A 20,914-nucleotide genomic window follows, 5' to 3' on the forward strand; every position below is an offset into this window, starting at 1 on the left:
GATGCATTCCAGGTAAGAATTAAAAACATCCCACCGAAGGGTGAGTCATGGGCTGGACACTAGATTCAGAACAAACGCCCGCACCAGACTTGCTATGCTAAGGCTATCCTCCGACGACTGAACGTGGCCAATCTGAATAGCTTTAATACACCATGGCCACTTTCCATCATTCATTTTTTGTAATACTAGAATTTTTCCCTCTTGAAAACAAAAATTATTACAGAAATTAGCAGGATGTCAGGTATATAGCATTTATAGGCATTTCAAAATAGTCACTTTGAAATGTTGAGCAGATTCATGATAGATTTTCAAGGCTTTGAATTATTTACATTTTAAAAAGTTTATCAGATATTGCAATGTTAAAGATAAATTATTTGAACTTCTAGTAGGTAGTAATGGTGTCAGAGAATGACAGGTAATTAAGTCATACAGTACATCTTGTGTCCACATTTCATGCAATTTTTGCAGAATGCTGTACTATGTAAACTGCTACTGCAAAAAAAAAAAAAAAAGCAATTATTGCACTGAATTTTCCATAAAATCCCTCCAAGTAAATCTTATCACCCCTTTGCAGATGAGCATCTTGTCTTTGGGAAGATGCAATAGAAAAGGAACTTGCCATAGAAAGCAGTAGTAAGACTTCTTATATGAGACTAAGATTTTCATTTCATTAGCTCTCTCCTTCACCTTGTTTATTAATTCTACAAGCATTTATTGCCATCTCCTATGTGCCAAGCACTGGTCCAGGCTCTGGGGATACACTATGAACAAAATACAGTGAAGTCCCTGCCCCATGGAGCTTACATTCTAGTAGGGGGAGACAGACAAACACATAAATACAAAATATCAGAGGGTTCAAAACAGCTTAGAGGTATCTTGCCTGAATTCTGTTTACTGCATATCCTCATTCTTGGGCAATGATAAAGTGAAGAGAGAGGCCAACAATGGGCTGCAGCAATGTTGCTAGTCCCAGCTCTACCATCTACACATTGAGTGGATTTAAGTGAGTTCTCATCTGATCTGAGCCTCAGTTTCCTCATCTATAAAATGGGGAGAAATTGGATTAAATTACTTATAAGGGAAAGGGTCCTTTCAGGCTTTTTTCATGAGAGTAGGGTGCTGAAAATCAAGAGCCAGTTTGTTGACTCCTCTAAGGTTTAAAAAATATTTAAATATAAAATCTAAGAAATCCTTAGAGATCCCATACACTCAATACTTCAAATGCCAATCTGAACTTCTTTCATCAATAGCAAATTCTTATTTACAATGGCTATAGAATGAAGTCATTTTACCATCTTTAGCCATATGAAAAATAAGTTATTTACTTATAAAAACATTCATTTTTATTATTGGTTACAAAATCTCACCTTATTTGTGAAATGTTCCCTAGCTATGAGATCCTGCCCTTGATGTGACACTATTTCTCTCTTCTGCTAACCCCTATCCCTGACTTTGTGCTCCTGTTTAATTTTTCCAACTGAAGTATTAGCTTTATGAAAACAGGGATCGGCTGCTTGCTTCTTTGAAGAACAACCCAAATGAGAGTATGTCCAGGTAATCCATAGACATGTATAATCATTACACCTGCATTTTGTTTTACAGGTACAGGCCTTTTGGTAACCCACATTAGCTCTTTAGACTGTCAGAGTTGTTCAGCTTAGTAAAATTTAGTTTATCAAAGGGTACTCTAACATCCGAAAAGGAAAAACACGTTTCCAGACTAATTCACAGACTAGGGCATTGTAACTTCACTGGAAGCCCTGGTGAGAGGCGTTAATACATATTTAATAATGTAAGTGAAGTAGCACATATTTTATAATCAATTAATTTTTCTCAAAGAAGATAATGTAGCAGAAGACCTGAATGTCAAACAAGGTTAGACTCATACTTACTAACTTGGTAGGAGTTACGATGCCTCTGATTCTCTTGAAAGACAAACTGTATTCACTAGTTTGATTTTGAAATGTAGAGATCAAATTTCAATCAACCCAGCAGCTAAGGATGACAGGAAATTTTACAGGACTAGAAGGAATCATCTTCTCTTATCTGGATCTGATCCTCCTCGACACCTTGGGGGTTTCCGAAGGCTGTGTGCTCTCAGTTTTAGCTGGTTGTTACGTAATCAAATATCCCATGCATGTTTTTACATTTGATCAGGTGGGCCTAATCACAAGGACTCATGTTGTCAGTGCCTTTGGGAGCAAAATGAAATAAATCTCTGTCTCAATATTGGAATTTATTCCTTCCTGTTGCTTAGTGGTGTCAAGATACAGTGTCAATGTTACCAGAAGTGCCTAACACAGTCTACTGTGTAGGCTAAAGTCTGCCGTGTTCGTACAGTGACTGAAAAGGAATAATGACTATATCCTCATTTGGGTGAATGTTACTACTTCAGGACCAGATGAGCAGGGGCATCCCATGTAACCATGAAGAATCTTGAAGCAGCATTACAACATCTAATAATAAACAATCTCTCAAACAGTGCCTGTATGAACTGCAAGATGAGGGCAGGTCCAGCTAGACATTGGCTGCATAAATGAAGATCAGAGAAGAATAAGGAGATTCAGACAACTTTTGGCAACCTAGATCACAGTTACTGGTAAATTCTTGTTACAAAGGAAATGGATTTTGGTATACGGAATTTGAATATGTGTTTTACTCAACAGAGTACATGCTACCAACAAGAATGCAGCCCCCTTTTTACAAGTTAGGCAGAAGGAATTATAAAGTCTTGCTGATGTTTACAGTCCTTACATCAATGTGACTGCAGCCCTCCCCAGTCATTCCAAAAGGTCCTTGGGTTGGATACGAGAATGCGTCAGGCCTGGCTTTGGCTATGACATCCCCAGGAAGTCACTGTGTGCAGTGTGGTCTCCAGGGTGGAAGTCTTTGAGCTGCCAATGAATATCTCTTAAGTCCAAACCTCCATGGGCACTATGGCCTCTTTGGTCCCAACAGAAGGCAGTAGGCTTTCTTCAGACAAGAAATAAAAGGGGAATTGCACCAAAAATCCACGGATCTTCTTCAGTTCCTCCTCAGCTCGAATGGGATCTTCCTTAGCTAATACGGGCTTGTTTATAAAGTCTCTCAGCTGAATTAAATTGTGTACTTCATCATTGGGAAGGCACCGGAAAACCTGATTAGAGCATAAATAGAAAAATGAGTGAAAAGTTTAAAAGCGAGCACATGGCCTTTATGGAAAATAATTATTCCAACAGACAAGACCTCTGTTGTATGAAACATATTATTAGTCTTATGTTACAGCACAGACCTGATTTAAGAGTTGGTTATCTTATAACCAACAATAGATAGATCTGCTACAAACAGATAGATCTGCTTCCATTTAAAAAATCATGGTTAGTGGCAAGAAATTACACTAATGTTACCCCACATTAAGGTTAATTTTTTTTGGATAATAATCATCCCTGAATTTCACTGGAGCTTCTGGTCTAAGAGGAATATTGCATATTATATTTTCCCTAACTTTTCTTGAAAGAGGCTCATATCTGTACCTTTACATAGCATTATCAATTGTTAATATGTAACACTTACTTTGCTGGTTGAAAATGAGTTTTGGATATCATAACACTTCACCCCTGAATACTTCTCTGCAGGTATGTCTTAAGAATAAGGACATGTGCCTATATAATCACAGCACTATTCTCACACCTAAGAAAATTAATTATATAATGTCATTTAAGTTATGCTTCATATTCAGATTTATCCTGTTATCCCCAAAATGTCTTTTATAGATGTTTTCCCCCAAATCCAGGACCCAAATAAGGCTGTGCACTGCATTTGTAAAATTACATTTTAATGACTCTATGCACATGACCTATTTGATCATGGCCTTCGGTCCATGAAATAAGGATGAAATAAGGTTATACAGGGGTCAGGCGCATTGGGTCATGCCTGTAATCCTAGCACTTTGAGAGGCCAAGGCAGGCGGATCACTTGAGGTCAGGAGTTCAAGACCAGCCTGTATCATAATACAAAAATTAGCTGGGTGTGCTGGTGGGCACCTGTAGGCCCAGCTACTCGGGAGGCTGAGGCAGGGGAATCACTTGAACCCAGGAGGTAGAAATTGCAGTGAGCCGAGATCATGCCACTGCACTCCAGCCTGGGCAACAGGGTGAGACTCCATGTCAATTAAAAAAAAAAAAAAAAGGAAAGAAAGAAAAGAAACAAGGTTATACAGACAGTAGACATGTTTCATTAAGAATAATAAGTTTCTCTGCTGGAAGGGGCTCTAAGAGAAAAATTGCGTATTTTCCCTAATTTTTTTTTTTAAAGAGGTTCACGTCTGTCCCTGGAAGTCATGAAGAAGAACACAGACTTATCCAACTTCTCACAGATGGTCAATTAGTCTGGGCTAGAACACAGCTTGAATAGTTTTCCCTGATGGGCAACTAGCTACTTTTCGAAGTAAGCTGTTCTACTGTTACGCAACTCTTAACTCTTTTACATTCTTTATTATAACCAAAGGATAGACTTCACAGGCAATGCATTTGGTATGCATCAAATGGAGCCGGTTTTAAAACACCTTTCTAAAACTAGAGCTGTCCAACAAATGACATGTCTTGTTATTAATATTAACAAGATTCATCATAAGGATGAATACTGTTTACTATACACTATGTGCTAAAACCATTCACTAGACTATTCTTTGTCCTCATAACTACCCTTGTGAATATTCCTCCCAATTTATAGGAGAGGAAAAAGAAACTCAGAAAGTTAAGTCACTATACACAAGGTTATAACACCAGCAACGGGGTGAGCTAGGCTGGACTCAGCTGTGGCTTGTTTTTTTATGCCATCTGCCCCTCTTCTCTTTGTCACTAGACATGTACAAAGGCTGGGTAACCAGGTGCTAAGGATGCTGCTGATGGGATTCCTGCATCACAGGAGAGACTGGAATGCTGCTAAAGCCTCTTCTAAACCAAAATCCACAATGCTTTTTGCCTTTGTTTTTCAGGGTCCACAAAGAGGTATTTTATTACAACCTGGACATGTATTAGCTTTTTTACGTTTATTAAGAATACCCTGTACCAATAATATGCAGAAATAACAATATGCTTTTTGTGATGAGATTCAGTGAAAAGAAACGGAGGAGGGGAATACGTGAACTTCACCTTGTCATAAATTGTAGCATTTCGAGCTGCTGTTGAAACCCACACCTCCTTGAAGAATTTGTCACTCACTGGATCCTGAATGTCCTCACTTGGGTCATCAAGATAGCCAAGGACAACCCTGAAATACAAGTGACCTCCACATTGAGTAACTGAGATAAAGCAGTTTGTTGCAGGATATATGTCTATTATATCTATCTCTATATATGCAAATATATATATGCAAATTATTTGAGAGACCATGACCTAGCTACTCTCATATCCTCAGAGTGCCTGACATAAAAGAAACTATTGTCTGAATTGACCACACATAAACAGCGGACTAGACATAACAAAAAATTCTCAAGCAAACAAGACAAGTTTTAGAAGTGATATTTGAAAATTATAATAACCCTTGTACTTAGAGAAGGCTTTAGGATTAAAAAGCACTTCCACCTTAATCCTGTGTGGTAGGCGGGACAGATGATTCTCATTCTGTAGATAGGAAACTAAAGTCTCGAGGCACACTAGTAATGGAGTTAGAACTCAAACTGAGGGCAAAGCCCTTTTCCCACATACTTGATAGGCTGAAATAATACCAAGAAGACCTGTGCTATTTGGAAAGAGCAATAGGAAAATTGGCCTTGTAAGGCTTTGGTTTTTATATTAAGTGAAATGGAGAGTGTAGACATCAGTGCAGAGGAGTGACAGAATCTGACTTACATATTAAAATACGGCTGCTGTATTGAGAACACACTCTGGGGGGCAAGGGTTGAAACAGGGAGCCCATTTAGGAGCTACTCCCATAATCCAGGTGAGGTATGATGGTGGCTTGGGCCTGGGTGGCAGTGGAGATGAAGATAGAGCCAACAGGTTTTACTGATAGAGTGAATGTAGGGTGTGTCAAAAAGTGAGGCATCAAAGATGACTACAAGGTTTTTGTCTTGAGCAACTATAATAATGTACAGCTGTAGTCGCCTTTAGCTGAGATAGGGAATTCTGTGGGTAGAGCTGGTTTGTGGGAGATCAGGAATTCGATTTTGAGCCTGTTGAGACATCTATTAAAGATGCAAGTGGCAGTGCTGAGTAGGCAGTAGATAAATGGAACTGGGGTTTGGGAGAGAAGGCTTGTTTAGAGATATAAATCTGAGAATTGTCCTCATGCACATGCTCATAGGCTGAATGTTTTTTTCTGAGTTCACCAAATAAGTGAGTATAGACAGAGAAGAGGACCGGGTGTATATCAACAGTAAGGGAGAGGAGGAGGAACCAGCGAGGCTGGAGAAAAGCCAGAGGATGTGGAATCCTGAAACCACACAAAGAAGTATGTCAAGGAGAACTGTCCAATTCAGATAAGAATTGACCACCGGCTTTAACAACTGGACATCATTATATTGTTACCCTCCTTGTATTTAAATAAATGTAGATTTGCATCATCATTTTAATGGCTGCAGAGTTTCCTATCACGTGAAATTTATTGAACCAATTATTTCATTATGGACTTTTGGGTAATTTCCAATTTTTCATTATTATAAACAGTGTTACAATGAACACAGTTTATTCATCATATGTGATTTTGTACATTTCTGTGATTATTTCATAAGAAGAAATTTTAGAATTAGAATTCCTGGGTCAGAGAATATTCAAATTACTGCAAGAAAGGCTGTACCAAAACATACACTATTAAGCATGAATATTTTCCCAGTTTTCTCCAACATTATCAACTCACGAAAAAGTTCAAGTCTGTAGATATTAAAGGACACTCATTTTAGTTTTAGTCTGCACTTTTTCCACTGTATAAAAATTTTTTTAAAATGGATCTGGCACCATAGGCTTTCTAGGATTCTTGACTTTTATAACCTCAAAGTTCTGTTTCCACTTCAAATAATGTGCCTCCTTCAGACTACACGAGAATAACTTTTTTTAAAAAAAGATTTAAGAGATGTTTGCACATAGACATTGGCTGCTAATTGAGACCCAAAGCACAATTTTACTGCATCAAATGTGAATGACAGTACAAATGATGACAGTAAGTCAATTATTATAATACCTTTGATTTGGGCCAGATTTAAGAAGCTGAAAATTGAGCAGAAAGAGTTTTTCTGTAACTTTGCTTTTAAATTAGAGCAAGAGATAAGCCAATGTGTCCACCAAACTATCAGGTAAGGGCTTGTTTGTAGAAAAAGTATTTAAATAAGTCTAAAATAGGCAATATATTATTTTCCCTGGCAGTATTTTAATTATAAGAAATTTATATTAAATGCAGAGTAAAAATAATATGAAGTACTCTGGATGTTCTTTTGAGGACTAAAGTTTGAGAGAAAACTAGTTTAATTTTATGTTGATGTATTTAATGAAAATTATTTAATATTTGCTTATTCATCAAAAAAAGTGGGACAGTAGGAAAACCACAAAAAATTATTTCTGTTCTTTCCGTTCCTCATATCTATCACTTTAAATGATTCTGAGTCCTAATTGTGTGGACAATGGTTTCTCTTGAGTGATGGTTATATCTGCAAAGTTTGGATAATTTTCTAGGACTTGAACTGTTCAGCTTATAGCTGTGAAATTTAGTGCATGTTTGATTCTGTCTCTATTTAGAATTGATTTCACATTGAAATAAGTCTCTCTATTTCTATTTTAAAATAGGCCAGATGGAAAATGGAGTGAAACTGCATTTTTTAAGTGAAAAAAATGGTTGTAGTCTAGGCCACAATATTTATCTTTGGGAATGTTTCCTAATAAAAAGAGGCTAAAATTGACGCAATGTTTTTGTGGTGCTTTTAAATATATTATCTGTGTTTGCCATTGGGGCAAAGTGAAAATAATTATTGAAGAACAACTGCCTCTTTAACACAATTTGAAAAATGCGAAGTAAAAGAAAGCACCTAGAAACAAAGTTAGCATAAGATCAGCATTAAAAAAATGAATTATTTACTGTAGAATAATCTTCCTCCCCACCAATAATAAAAACCCAAAGCTTTATTGAAGAACAATAAAATATTCATATAAATTGAAGTCCATACCTTGTTCTTCAACAAGATGACTCAATATTATAAAGGTGTCAGTTCTTTTCTTCATCTATAAATCCGCTATAATTCCAATTTTATAAAACTAGTAAGAACTTGAGAGAACGTGAGTAAACAATTCTAAAGTCCATGTGGAAGAATTAATGTTTATGAATAACCAAGATTATTTTGAAAAAGAATACTAATTTGAAGAAGTGGTATGGCAAAAAGTAGTCTTAAAATGCACAGCCACAATAATTACATGGTATCACACTGGCATGCAAGTAAACAGACTTTCAATATGGCATAACAGAGAGACTAGCGAGAAGCCAGAACAGATAGTGATTCAGTGTATCTTAAAGGTGGACTGCAGATAAGAGAGGCGAAGAGTCCTACTACGTATCGTAAGGTTCCAGATCATCTGGTTAGTTGAGAAAAAGAGTCAGGACCCCGACCTCACTTCTTACACTAAAATACACTGCAGATGTTAATTGTAAAAAGTAAAACCAAACAAGCACCAGGAGAAGACACAAGTAAATGTTTAATCTTAGGCTGAGGAAGCTATTCTAAGCATACAGAAAAAGGCAGGTGGGGAAAAAAAAGAAAAAAACAGATTGATTTGATTAATAAGAATTGAAAAATTTCCCCCAAATTCTCCAAAGATGACTAAAAGCCAACAGGCAAACAAAATTTGCAACACATATGACAAAGGAATAAGCATCCTACACATATTTAAAATACTTATAAATCATTAAAAGAAAGTTAAACAACAACCCCATTAAAAAGTGGGCAAAAGACAATGGAAAAGACATTTTTGAAAAGAAGACACACAAGCAGCCAACAAACATAAAAAAATGCTGAACATCATTAATTATCAGATAAATGCAAATTAAAACCACACAAGATACCATTTCACACCAATCAGAATGACTATTATTAAAAAGTCAAAAAACAACAGCTGTTGGTGAGGATGTGGAGAAAAGGGAATGCATATACACTGTTGGTGATAACAGAAATTAGTATAACCTCTATAGGAGACAGTATGGACACTTCTCAAAGAGCTAAATATAGAACTATCATTCAATACAACAATCCCACAACTGGGTATCTACCTAAGTTGTCCTAAAAATGACACCTGCACTTGTATGTTTATCACAGCACTATTCACAATAGCACAGTGTTGGAATCAACCTAAATGTCCTGAGCAGACAATTACATAAAGAAAACACACACACACACACACACACACACACACACACACACACACACACACCAGAGAAAACTACTCAGCCATAAATAAGAATGAAATCATGTATTTTGTAGCAACATGCATGGAGTTGGAAGCCATTATCCTAAATGAAATAACAGAAAGTTAAATACTGCGTGTTCTCACTTATAAGTGGGAGCAAAACAGTACATACACATGGATGTACAGAGTGGAATAACTGACGTTGGAGACTCCAAAAGGTGGGTGGGTAGAGGTGGAGTGAAGGATGAGAAATCACCTAATGGGTACAATGTACACTATTTGGGTGACAGTTACACTAAAAGCCCAGACTTCACCCCTACACAATGTATCCAGGTAACAAAACTGTACCTGTACTCCTTAATTGTATAAAAATAATAAAAAAAGAAAGTTAAACCTTCCATCGTAATGGGCAAAGGATACAAATAAACTAGGCAATTTATGAAAAAAATTATACATGGCTAATAAACATATTTTTAATTCTAAAAAATGTGAATTAAAATGGTGAAATTCCATGTGAAATCTAACAAATTGGTGAAGATTAAATAAACTCAGTCAAGATAGAAGGAATAAGCCCTCTAAAATATTGCCAGTGATATAATAAGAGATCAAAGGAGACAATAAAGAAGGTGAACAAGAAGGTATCTACAAACATACCCATTTTTTTATATCAGCAAAAATATCTGCCAAACAATGAGGGATTAAAGGAATTATGGCATACACATACAATAAAATATAATGTAGCCATTAACATATTGTAGAAGAATACTCGATGACATGGAAAATGTGTGTAACATTGTTTAAATAATAAAAAACATGTAGGCCTGCAAAATTCTAATTTTGTTTTAAAAAGGGAATACAATATATTAATATCTATGTATAGAAAAAAGTGGAATGACATATACCAAATGTTAAAACTGTTATCACAAGGTGATGGTATTACAGATGAATTTAATTTTCTTACTGGTTTTCTGTATTTGCCAAATTTGTACATAAAAATGTGCTGTAATCAAAAACCTCTACCTTCTATAATTATTACACATTTAAAAAGTTATAAAGAAACTCATGACTTTAAAGAGAATTCTTAAGTTCTTACGGAACTGAAAAGATATAACATACATTCCAGCTTACAAAAGGAAGTATTTGTCTTTTATGTATGCCGCAGTAGGCAATCAATGGGTTAATTAGCAGGGTACCAATTTTTAAATTCTCCTCTGCTAAACAAAACAAATTACCATTAGAAGCTAATTGAATTATCAATGGTTTGAAAATCTTCTTACTGGCAAATCAAGTAGTAACAAAGGCAATAAATACAGCAATAAAAGTTGTTAGAAGGTATTGATAGATTTTGAGGGATGGATTTTTTGAGCTACTTAGACAGAGACAGCAGAATGTCTCTACAACTGAGGCTTATGTTGGTCTTGGAAGCCGAAGTCTGGATTGGTAGGAATGAGCGAAGTGGCCTCTGCCTTTGCCGGGAGTTAAGTGCTCACTAAGCGCCCATCTGCAAGTGAGCCAGTTTCCAAAAGGGACCATTTAACACAAAGAAAACAACAGGCTGCAGCGCAGTGCCCTTCCCGAAAGGGCATAACGCACTGATCTTAACTATATCGGGGCCACCTGCTGCATCCCACTATACAGTCCTCACCAAAATTGCATTATGGCAAATATAGTTCTAGAATCATAAAACTGTGGACTTCCTACAAAGGCCTAGAGTTGGGAGAGTAGTCAGGGTGTTCCACAGCCGGTGGGGAAATGAGTGTCTGCAGGGAGCAAGGGAAACAGTGAAAGGAGACGAGATTATATTACTTGTTCCTTGTGAGATAAGAAGCCATTGGACAGTAGTGAGCAGAGAAGCAACATGATCTAGAAGGTTCTAGAGGGACCACTGTGTTGAGAAAACACAACAGGGGACGTGGACAGTTACAGCGCAGCCCTTGAAAGTTCTAAATAACACTTTATTGAATGGACTTATTTAGGATCGCACAGCTGAAACGAGCCCAGCTTCCTAGCCCAGTATTCTCTCTGCTTCACCACAGATTAGTTTAAAATTTGCATCTTCTTGCCAAAGATCAGGGATCTTCGACACCTGGAGTCATTTTAGACCTGAAAACAGAAGTTTCCACATTTAAATTTTACACCAGCAGTCACTGGCATACCCCTTCAATAATTTTTATTATATCCTTGTATTACTGGAATTAATTTGATTTTAAAAACTTAAATGGAAGCTGGAGGGTTTGACCTGGTCTAGTCCTAATTCAGTTAAGGACTAGTATTTAATTGGCTCACGTCTGTAATCCCAGTGCTTTGAGAGGCCAAGGCAGGAGGATCACTTAAAGCCAGGAGTTTGAGACCAGCCTGGGCAGCACAGCGAGACACGGTATCTACAAAAAATTTTTAAAAATTAGCTGGGTGTGGTGACACGGGCCTGTAGTCCCAGCTACTCGGAATGCTGAGCCAGGAGGATTGCTTGAGCCTAGGAATTCAAGGATGCAATGAGCTGTAACTGCACCACTGCAGTTTTTTCTACTGCACGTGACAGTAATAAAAAGCTATTAAAATAAAAAATATTCATGTACCACCTAAAGTCATTTCGCATACTACTGGTGGTACATATCCTATATTCTGGGACACACTGTTTTAGATGAAGAAGAACCTAGGATGACCCATGTGCTCAGGGCTAGCGGGGCTGGGTCCCAGCGACTGCTGCAGTGGAAATGCATCAGAGAGACACACTTTGGCGGACTGACCTAAAGCACTGTAGCCGAAGTCCTCGGGCAAACCGGCCAGCTTGGTACTCTTTTCCATCCATTACTGAAGGAACAGTCTCTGTATCTTGCACAATGACAGCCATTTCACTGTCACGCTTTCCCAGCATGCTGCGGTCATTTATGTTGGCAGAGCCTGTAAGGAGAAACAGTGAGGCTGAACAACCTTCCTGTTGTGGCAGACACTGTTGGTTGCCCTCCCAACTCAATTCATCCTTGCAAACAAAACCGTAATTTTGTCCAGGTTTTCAAGGGAAGATGTGTTTTTAGGGAGGTGGGGCCCTCCCTAACCCAGGGGTGAATCTTAATCAGTCTAAGCCAGCCATGGTAATTTCATTATTTTTATTAGTGACTGGCTTAGAAATGGGCTCTTGACATGGTGCTAGCCAATGTGACATGAAGGAAAGCTTCTGAGAAAGAGTTTCCCCTTTGTATAAACACACAAAAAATGGATTCTGTCTCTTCCATCCTTTGGATATCTTGGCTTGAAGGGTTGGAAGAAGACATGATTCCAGGAGCTGCTGCAGCCATTTCACAACCACTAGAGAACAAACAAAAAAGCTTAAAGAAAATGCTAAGTAGAAAAAAGAGCCAGGCATGGTGGCTCATGTCTGTAATCCCAGTGCTTTGAGAGGCCAAGGCAGGAGGATCGCTTAAAGCCAGGAGTTTGAGACCAGCCTGGACAACATAGCGAGACCTGGTCTCTACAAAAAGTTTTTAAAAATTAGCTGAGTGTGGTGACGCATGCCTGTAGTCCCAGCTGCTCGGAATGCTGAGGCAGGAGGATCGCCTGAGCCTAGGATTTCAAATTTGCAGTGGGCTGTAACTGCACCACTGCACTTCAGCCTGGGCCAAAGAGCAAGACTTCATCTCTAAACAAAACATAAAAATAACAATTAAAAAAGAAGAAAGATTCTGGGTCTTTAAGTCATTGAATTAGCCAACCTTTGAATATTCTTACCTTCTGTCATGTGAAATAATATATTTTCCTTATTTTCTACATTGTTCCTTATTGTTTCACACACACTTCTAGTTGAGTTTTCTACCTTGTGGCACAAAAGATTCTAACTGTTACAATCATCAAGCACTTGAAAAAAGGCATGCCTACCAGTTCAGTAGGAAAGATGGCTTTGCTTTTGGAGTTAAGAATCAGGCTCTCTGTAGGCTTTAACTCAAAGTCACATAACTGTGAATGTCAAAACTCAAGAGTACCTTCATAATTAATAGAGTATAATCTCAAATACAGATTGTCATTTGTGGCTTTGGGCTTTCTGCTTTCTTGCCTCCCTCACTTGTGTAGCATGCCAATAGCTTCTGTAGCAACTTTCCTCCATTCTATTTTTTAAAATTATTAATTCTCTTTATTAGCTCAATACCTGGTTCATTCAAGGAGTCCATTTTTTTTTTTAAATCCAAGTGAGCTGAGAATGTTGACTTTTACATGTGAAGGGCAAATATTTTGCTATTAGTTCAACCTGTGCTTTCTGCAGTCCTCTGCTGTGTATTCAGGAACCTCATCACGTTTTTTTGCATTAATCTCTGCAGATTCATGCATTTGAATCCTTGAGGTGTCCTGCAAACTACAGAAAGGGCCTGACTGACTCTTCTTGTTCCTCTTGCTCTAGCTGCAACAACTCCACTGCTTCTTCAGACGTGGAGCAGAAGGGTCAGGTTGAACAGGCACCCTGGCGGCCCTCTGACTGGAGCAGCCAGAGCTATAAGGTGACAGCAGCCCTACCAGAGCTCAAATGGTGAGATGAATGAGAAAAGCTGCCCTTTCCTGAAGAGACTTTACTGCCTGTTGCCAGAATATTGTCATGTGGTTAATATATAAATCTATGATGACTATGGATGTGAGTGTTTCCCCATGGTGGCCCTGGGTAACAGAGAAAGGATCGAGCACCCTACAGAAATGTGAGAATGCTACTGGAGTGCTGCTGAAAAGTGGGAACCTTTGAAACACTTTGTTTTGTTAGCACCAAATCATCCTTTATACATAGACTTACATCGTGGTTATGCTATAAAATTTGCAGCTATATCTTTGAGCTTGACAGTTGCCCCAACATTAATTTGGGCAATTCACTTAATCTTTCTCAGCTTTAATATAATCTTTCATAAATTGAGATAATAATATAGACCTTGTAGGGATATTGTGGGAATTAAGTAAGACCATGTGAAAGCACTTAATGATTTACAAGCTGCTCTACAAATGTTAATTATTACTGGCATTATTATCAGATCCTTGTTAACTCTACAATAACTGCACCGGAGAATGCTGCCATAGGAACCGACCATTTGATGGAATGTAGCATTTGTTTAAAGAAGCCTCCTCTCTGGCTTAATCGCCCCATGTGTGAACTGTAGGAGCTCAAAGATTGAAGATCCCATATTGCTACTTTAGGACTTTTACTGTGCCCCTGGAGCCAGCAGAGGCCGCTGTCAGGCGGGGGCTGCTGGATTGAACTGACATCACTGCTTTGTTTCGGGTCAGGAGAACCTGGGATGTGAGCCAGCCTGGAAAGCCCCCTCCGCACACACATTCTCCCACGCGCCCCCATTCCTCTCCCACCACAGTGGGCCCCGACACTCCCGAGGTGAGGAATACATTTCCAGCATTCTGAGCTGGAATTATTAGACAGAGGGTGTCGTTCTTGTATTTTAAGGGCCAACATGGAATTACCCAGATAACTGACTCTCCACCACATTAAATAAGTGTGTTGGCTGCTATTTAATAGGCATGTGAGGAAAGAAATGAGAAAATTTTAGATGAATGAATAAATTAGATATAATAAGATATGATGGATGTAAATGCTCCCTCCATTTGTTCCTGTATTCTGAAAATCAAATTCAGAAGAACAGTTGTAGTATTACCCTATTTTTATACAACATATGAGGAAGAAGACAGAACAAGAGATCTAGAAAGATACACACTGAACTGTTAACAATAGTAGGTGCTTTTCAGTGAAGAGAGAGAAGAAAATAAGGGGAATTTTGGTCTTTTACTCTATAAGCATCCTTCTTGTTTATATGACCTGTTCTGAGTGCTATTAGAAAACATTCTAAAAATTGTGAATATGGCAAAATACAAAAGGCTATATGAAAATATGTGTGTAAAACTTAAGCAATAATAAAATAGTCATCACTGAATTTATTACCCTGGCCAAAAACAATATTACCACATCCCAGAAGGCTTTGTGCACCTTCCCATGCATACCCTTCCCTCCCCAAGAGGAAGACTTGATGTTTAACTTTGTGTTCATCATGCTCTGAATGTTTTCCTAAACAACAAAAAAAGAGTTTACTTCTGACTTGTTTTTAATTTATATAAGTGGAATCATATATCAGATAGTCCTTTGAGATTTGCTTCTTTCATTCAGTCTTATGTCTTTGAGATTTTTCTGTACATAATTGTAATGCATTTCTTTTCCTTGAATGAACACACTAGGGATTTCTTTATTTATTCTGCTATTGATGGATGTTTGGGTTGCTTCCAGAGTTTTGCTGTGATGCACAATTCTGCTCTACATAGCTGAGTATTTGTTTCTTGGTATAGACATGTGTGAGTTTCTTAGGCTCTGTATGTAGGCGTGGGTTGCTAAGCTGCAGGGTGTATGACTTTACTAGGTAACACCAGAATGTTTTCCAACTTACACTCCCAACAGCAGTGGAGGGGAGTCTGTATTGCTCCACAGCCATGCCAATACTTAGATTGCCCAACTTTTAACTGTTTGCCAGTCTGGTATTTTTAAAAACTCTTATTTGTCTCATGTTAATGAGAAGCAACATTTTTTCACATGCTTATGAGGCTTGGGTATGTTCTTTTTGATGAAGTTCCTATACAATTTCTTTGCCCATTTTTCTTTGGACATTTGTTTTTTCTTATTGATTTATAGGAGTTCTTTATGTGTTCTGTGTATTAAATGGGTTGCAAATATTTCAGTTTGTGGTTTATCTTTTTATTCTCTTTACAGTACCTTTTAATGAAGAAATTTCTGAATTTTAATGCAGTTGGATTTATCTTTCCTTTGTGGTTTGTGCTTATTTTGTGTGTCTCACTTAGAAATTGTGAATCCTTGTGTGGTATGCAGAATAGCAGCTCTCCAAAATGTCCGTGTTCAAATCTCCGAAAACTGTGAATATATGTTCAATGGCAAAGGCGAACTAAGGCTGTATATGGAATTAAGGTTGCTAATCAGCTAACTTTAAAAATAGAGTGAGTAGCCTGGATTATACAGGTGGACCCAATACAATCATAAGATCTGTAAAAGTGAAAGGGAGTCAGACTGAGTTATGATTACAGAAGAATGGGTTGAGACTTTTGGGGATTTTCAGAGATAGAATGTTGCTGACTTTAAAGGTGGAAGAAGGGGCTGTGAGCCAAGGAATGCAGGCAGCCTCTAGAAACAAGGAAATGGACTCTCCCTAACGGCCTCTAAAAGAATGCAACAGCCCTGCTCACACTCTGATTTTAGTCCTGTGGGACTCACGCTGAATTTCTAACCTACTGAAGTGTCAGATAATAAATTTGTGTTGTTTTAAGCTACTAAGTTTGTGGTCATTTGTTACAGCAGTAATGGGAAACGAACGCACGAACTCTACCCCGTTTTAGTTTGTTTTGAAGGAAAACTGGTTCTTCTATTGAGCACACTGGGCTACTCTGTCTTTTCTGCCTACTTGTATTTCCTTTGCCTCCAGGTCAGAAGTTCTCAGCTCTGACCACATATGAGCATTACCTAGGAAAGCTAACAAGGAAGCTTTTTAAAAAATACTGATGCCAAAAACAAAACCAAAAAAACCCAAATGCCTGGCCCCAAACCAGACCAACTAGATCATAATTTCTAGAAATAAGAACCAGGCATTGGTATACCACTCCATCCCTGTATCCATTGTTAATTTATATTTTTGTTTTGATCCATTTAAAAGCAAATTGCAGACATGAGGAAATATCCCCCTCTTTACTGGGGCAGCCCTTCAACTCCAGCCTCTCATCTGCCACAGTGAAGCCTGCTCTTTAAATCCTGAGACTCATGAGCTCGACTTAGTTTCTCCTCCTACCCACACTTGTTGATTGCCCCTGAACCTTCTTGTTCTGGTTTGGCAACATCCATCCTAGTGTTTCTGCTCTCATATGGAAGGAGTAGCTGCCTCTCCTCCAGCCAGTGATCTCTGGGAGGGCAGTGGCGCTGTTTTACTCACGTTTCGCATCTCTCTATTGTGCTTTGCAGTGGGTTAGTGAACATTAAAAACAACCGTTTCACTTAGTCATCAGGATAGGCTTAAAATCTACTTGAAGGGGAGCTTGGCTTTGTTTTGGAAACCAAATATATGTGTGTCTGGTTAAAGGCTAAAATTAAGATAGGTAAGAAAACTGGATTTGGTCACAGATTTCATGACCAGCAGGGTTACCCAGGGCCACAGGCAATTAAAGCTATGCACAAAAGAGATCTTCAGTGTGAGAAAACAAATATTTCCTCATGAGGAGTAAAATGAAGATAAATGGTCATTTTTCTTATGTCAGCTATTCAATCATTCTGGCATAAGTTTGCCATGGAAGAAAAATTAATCATACATTACTTAAACCTCCTTTAAATGTTTAAATACTTCCTTAACACCTATAAAATATTCTCAACCTAACTTCTCAAACTCGTCTCTGAGAATTTTAAACACTGTTTTCTGTGTTAGGAACTTAAATAGGGTGAATGTGTTAGAACAGTAACAATAAACCTGCTTATTCTTGAGTTTCCACCGAGATAAAAAGAACAAAAGAAACTCTGGATTTTTTCCTTGGGAGAAATCGATTCTCTAAGGCACTTGGGGAAGGAAAAAAGGAATCCAGCCTCCAAGGACTAGCAAGTAAGACCTCTTTAGACTCCCAGGGCCATATCCTCAGTTTCAAGAGAATGTGTAAGAATTGTGTGCAAAATTGATCAAGTATTGCTAAACAAAATAAATTGGAGTCTTTGAGTGTTTAGAGACTTTTCCAGAAAATAAGTCAATTAAAAACCTCAACAAATTTATTTAACTGTTAGCTCTGTTACCAAAAACTAATTTGTATTTATACTTCATGTAAAGTAAACGAGGCTGAAAGTCAAAATGACCTTTCAAAAAAATATTTACATCTGTCAGTTTTTACTTCAAGGCTTCTGAAATCTTGGTGAAGAAATATGTGGCTTTGTTTATTTTTCCATTTCAGCAAACATCAATAGTTTTTATTTCTTACTGTCATTGTCAAATTTAATTCCAAAGTATTCTGAGATTTGCTTTTGAAGAGCAAGTCAGAGTAGCTCAGGAGAAATAAATGAAATCTTGAGTATTAGGGCAAATGGGGGAATAAATAAACTCCTAAAGAGCTTTTATCCCTATAGGCCAGGAGATAAAAGAACAGTATTTTTTAAATGTGCTATACAAATATTAAAAGTGTGTATGTGTGTGTGTGTGTGTGTGTGTGTGTGTGTGTGTGTATCTCACCATACTGTGGTTTACACAGTTTCTGGCTATAGACGAGGAGATAAAGGAACAATATTATTTTAATGTGCTATACAAATATTAAAAGTGTGTGTGCGTGTGTGTGTGTGTGTGTGTATGTATCTCACCACACTGTGGTTTACACAGTTTCTGGCTTCAGAACTATGTTTCTTTTCTATTCAAATCATGTTCCAGATAAGACAGTTTTATTCTTCTCAGATATGAGATATGTTTTCTTTTCTCAGTGGAGAATAGAAAGCATATTTATTGTCCAAAATTTTCAAAACACTCCATGACATTTAGTTTCTTGAATAATAGGAAAGTATCTTATTATAGCTGATAAACTACATTTCATTTGAAACAGATGAGCAGAATTCCCATTAGTAGGACACATCATCTCTCTAAATAACATGACCCACACTGGTTACCTCATTTACCTGGTTGATTATTTATACTCTATCATCCTGGACTTCCAATACTCATTTTATATAATATTAATATTAGAAGTCAAAATAATTCAATGATGGAAGAATGAAGCTTTCTATGTATATAAAAGAATGAAGCTGAACATCTACCTCTCTTGTCAAGCTAATCTAATTTGGGTAGAATGTACAAGTTATTTAGGAGAGTAACTCTCCTGAATTTGTCAGTGGGAAGAGGCCTTTGGAAAAGTCTCCTGTGTATCCTTGACAAGAAATGACTGCAGACCTTAGTGCAGGGCTACATCCTATCATTAGTACACAATTCCCACTTCATCCATACACATCAACAAAGTTGGACTGCTCTACATCCTAATTAATGACATGGAAAACATGCATGTTAGGAAAAATAGTGGTAATGCATAGAGGCAGCAATATTTTACCATCCTTCTGATTTCGACTTTTGTACAACTTCAGATCTGTGGTAATGGTTAGGTGGATGTGGTATAAACACATACGAATTACCACAAGGTACTCACTTATGACACACTTTCCCTCCCCATTTATCCCCCACCAATCCCTGAAATCTGGGCACTTGGATTGTAAATAAAAATAAGGGGATAGCTGGGTGTGGTGGCTCGGGCCTGTAATCCCAGCACACGGGAGACTGAGGTAGAAGAATCATTTGAGACCAGCCTGGGAAACACAGCGAGACCCCCATCTCAAAAATAGTTTTAAAAATTAAAAAAAAAAGGGAGTAATAAAGAATTAGTGAAATCTGGCACATTATTGGACTGCTGGGTTAAACAGCTGCCTCTGGATTCTGCAATTTTCACGAAGTCCATTTAATTGCTCTGTACCTCTGATTCTTCACAGATAAAAATAGTTTAGTTCACAAAGAGATGATAAATGCTTGAAGTGATAGGTACTGCAATTGCCCTGATGTGATTGTTATACATTGTATGACTGTATCAAAACATCGTATGTACCCCATGAATATATACACCTATTCTGTACCTATAACAATTTCAACAACTGGGTTAGAAAGGATGTAAGAGAAGAGGATGGCTTCAGAAATGTTTTAGTTATGGTGTTACTGTCTGTTTCAAATGCAAAGGATGCTTAGGAGGAATAGCAGCAAACATTTTTGCATGGGGTAAGTCAACTGGCAAGGAATACAATTATAGACCATATACTGTACTTACCAATAATAACAGTGTTATCATCAGCAATTAACAACTTGCTGTGGACATAGATAAGCTCAGTTACTAGGTTTCCTTCGAGCTCTGCATGTGTTCTAAGACCACAGAATGATATGTAATTTATCCACTGATTACCAACTGCAAATTTAAAAAGAAATTATTAAAATTAATATGACCAAGCTCAATAAACGTACATTAAATCTTATTGTTTCTCAAAACATACTACTTAGACTGTTCAGAATAGATTGTATATTATATGTATATGTTTTCTATTTCAGAATTCATCCAGGATTTATTTTTGATATCTGAATTTCATATTGTCAGTCTGAATGGCTTTCTCTCTCTCTCTCTCTCTCTCTCTATATATATATATATATATATATATATTATATATATTTTTTTTTTAATTGAAGTGTTTTCTGTCTTCCCTTTGCTAAGGCAATCCAAAAAGCTATTCATATATGAACATTTTATTTTAATGATTTGATGAGTTAACTACTGAAGAGTGATGGTTAAAACTGAGCTGGAATAGATTAACCAAGACTTCAGTGTGACATTTGCTTCTATCCTGCTTGACACTTGCTGCAGTTTGAATCAGATGCAAGGTGTGTGCCAAACCACCTGATGCTACATCATTTGTAGCATATTCAGCGTGAAGCATCAGTTAAATTCTGCAGACTTTGGGTAAATAAAAATGT

At 37.5% G+C, this 20,914-nt stretch overlaps 1 protein-coding gene across 11 annotated transcripts in view; it reads right to left on the reverse strand.

Annotated features, from left to right (window-relative positions):
- The window catches only part of PLD1 (phospholipase D1), a 210,080-nt gene continuing 189,403 nt past the window's right edge, over positions 238-20,914 (reverse strand). For 8 of the 11 annotated variants that reach the window (NM_001130081.3, NM_002662.5, XM_047448316.1 and 5 more), the window contains 4 exons: positions 20,220-20,354; positions 12,113-12,266; positions 5,133-5,250; positions 238-3,136 (listed from right to left, as the gene is read on the reverse strand). In NM_001130081.3, the coding sequence (NP_001123553.1) occupies positions 2,912-3,136; positions 5,133-5,250; positions 12,113-12,266; positions 20,220-20,354 (632 nt within the window). In that variant the 3' untranslated portion in view covers positions 238-2,911. Of the gene's footprint in view, positions 3,137-5,132; positions 5,251-8,134; positions 8,201-11,299; positions 11,469-12,112; positions 12,267-20,219; positions 20,355-20,914 lie in introns of those variants that run through there. The other 3 variants (XM_047448317.1, XM_011512897.2, XM_011512898.2) reach the window with 2 other exon arrangements.

The sequence above is a fragment of the Homo sapiens genome, chromosome 3, assembly GCF_000001405.40.
Source record: "Homo sapiens chromosome 3, GRCh38.p14 Primary Assembly".
Lineage (NCBI taxonomy): Eukaryota > Metazoa > Chordata > Mammalia > Primates > Hominidae > Homo > Homo sapiens.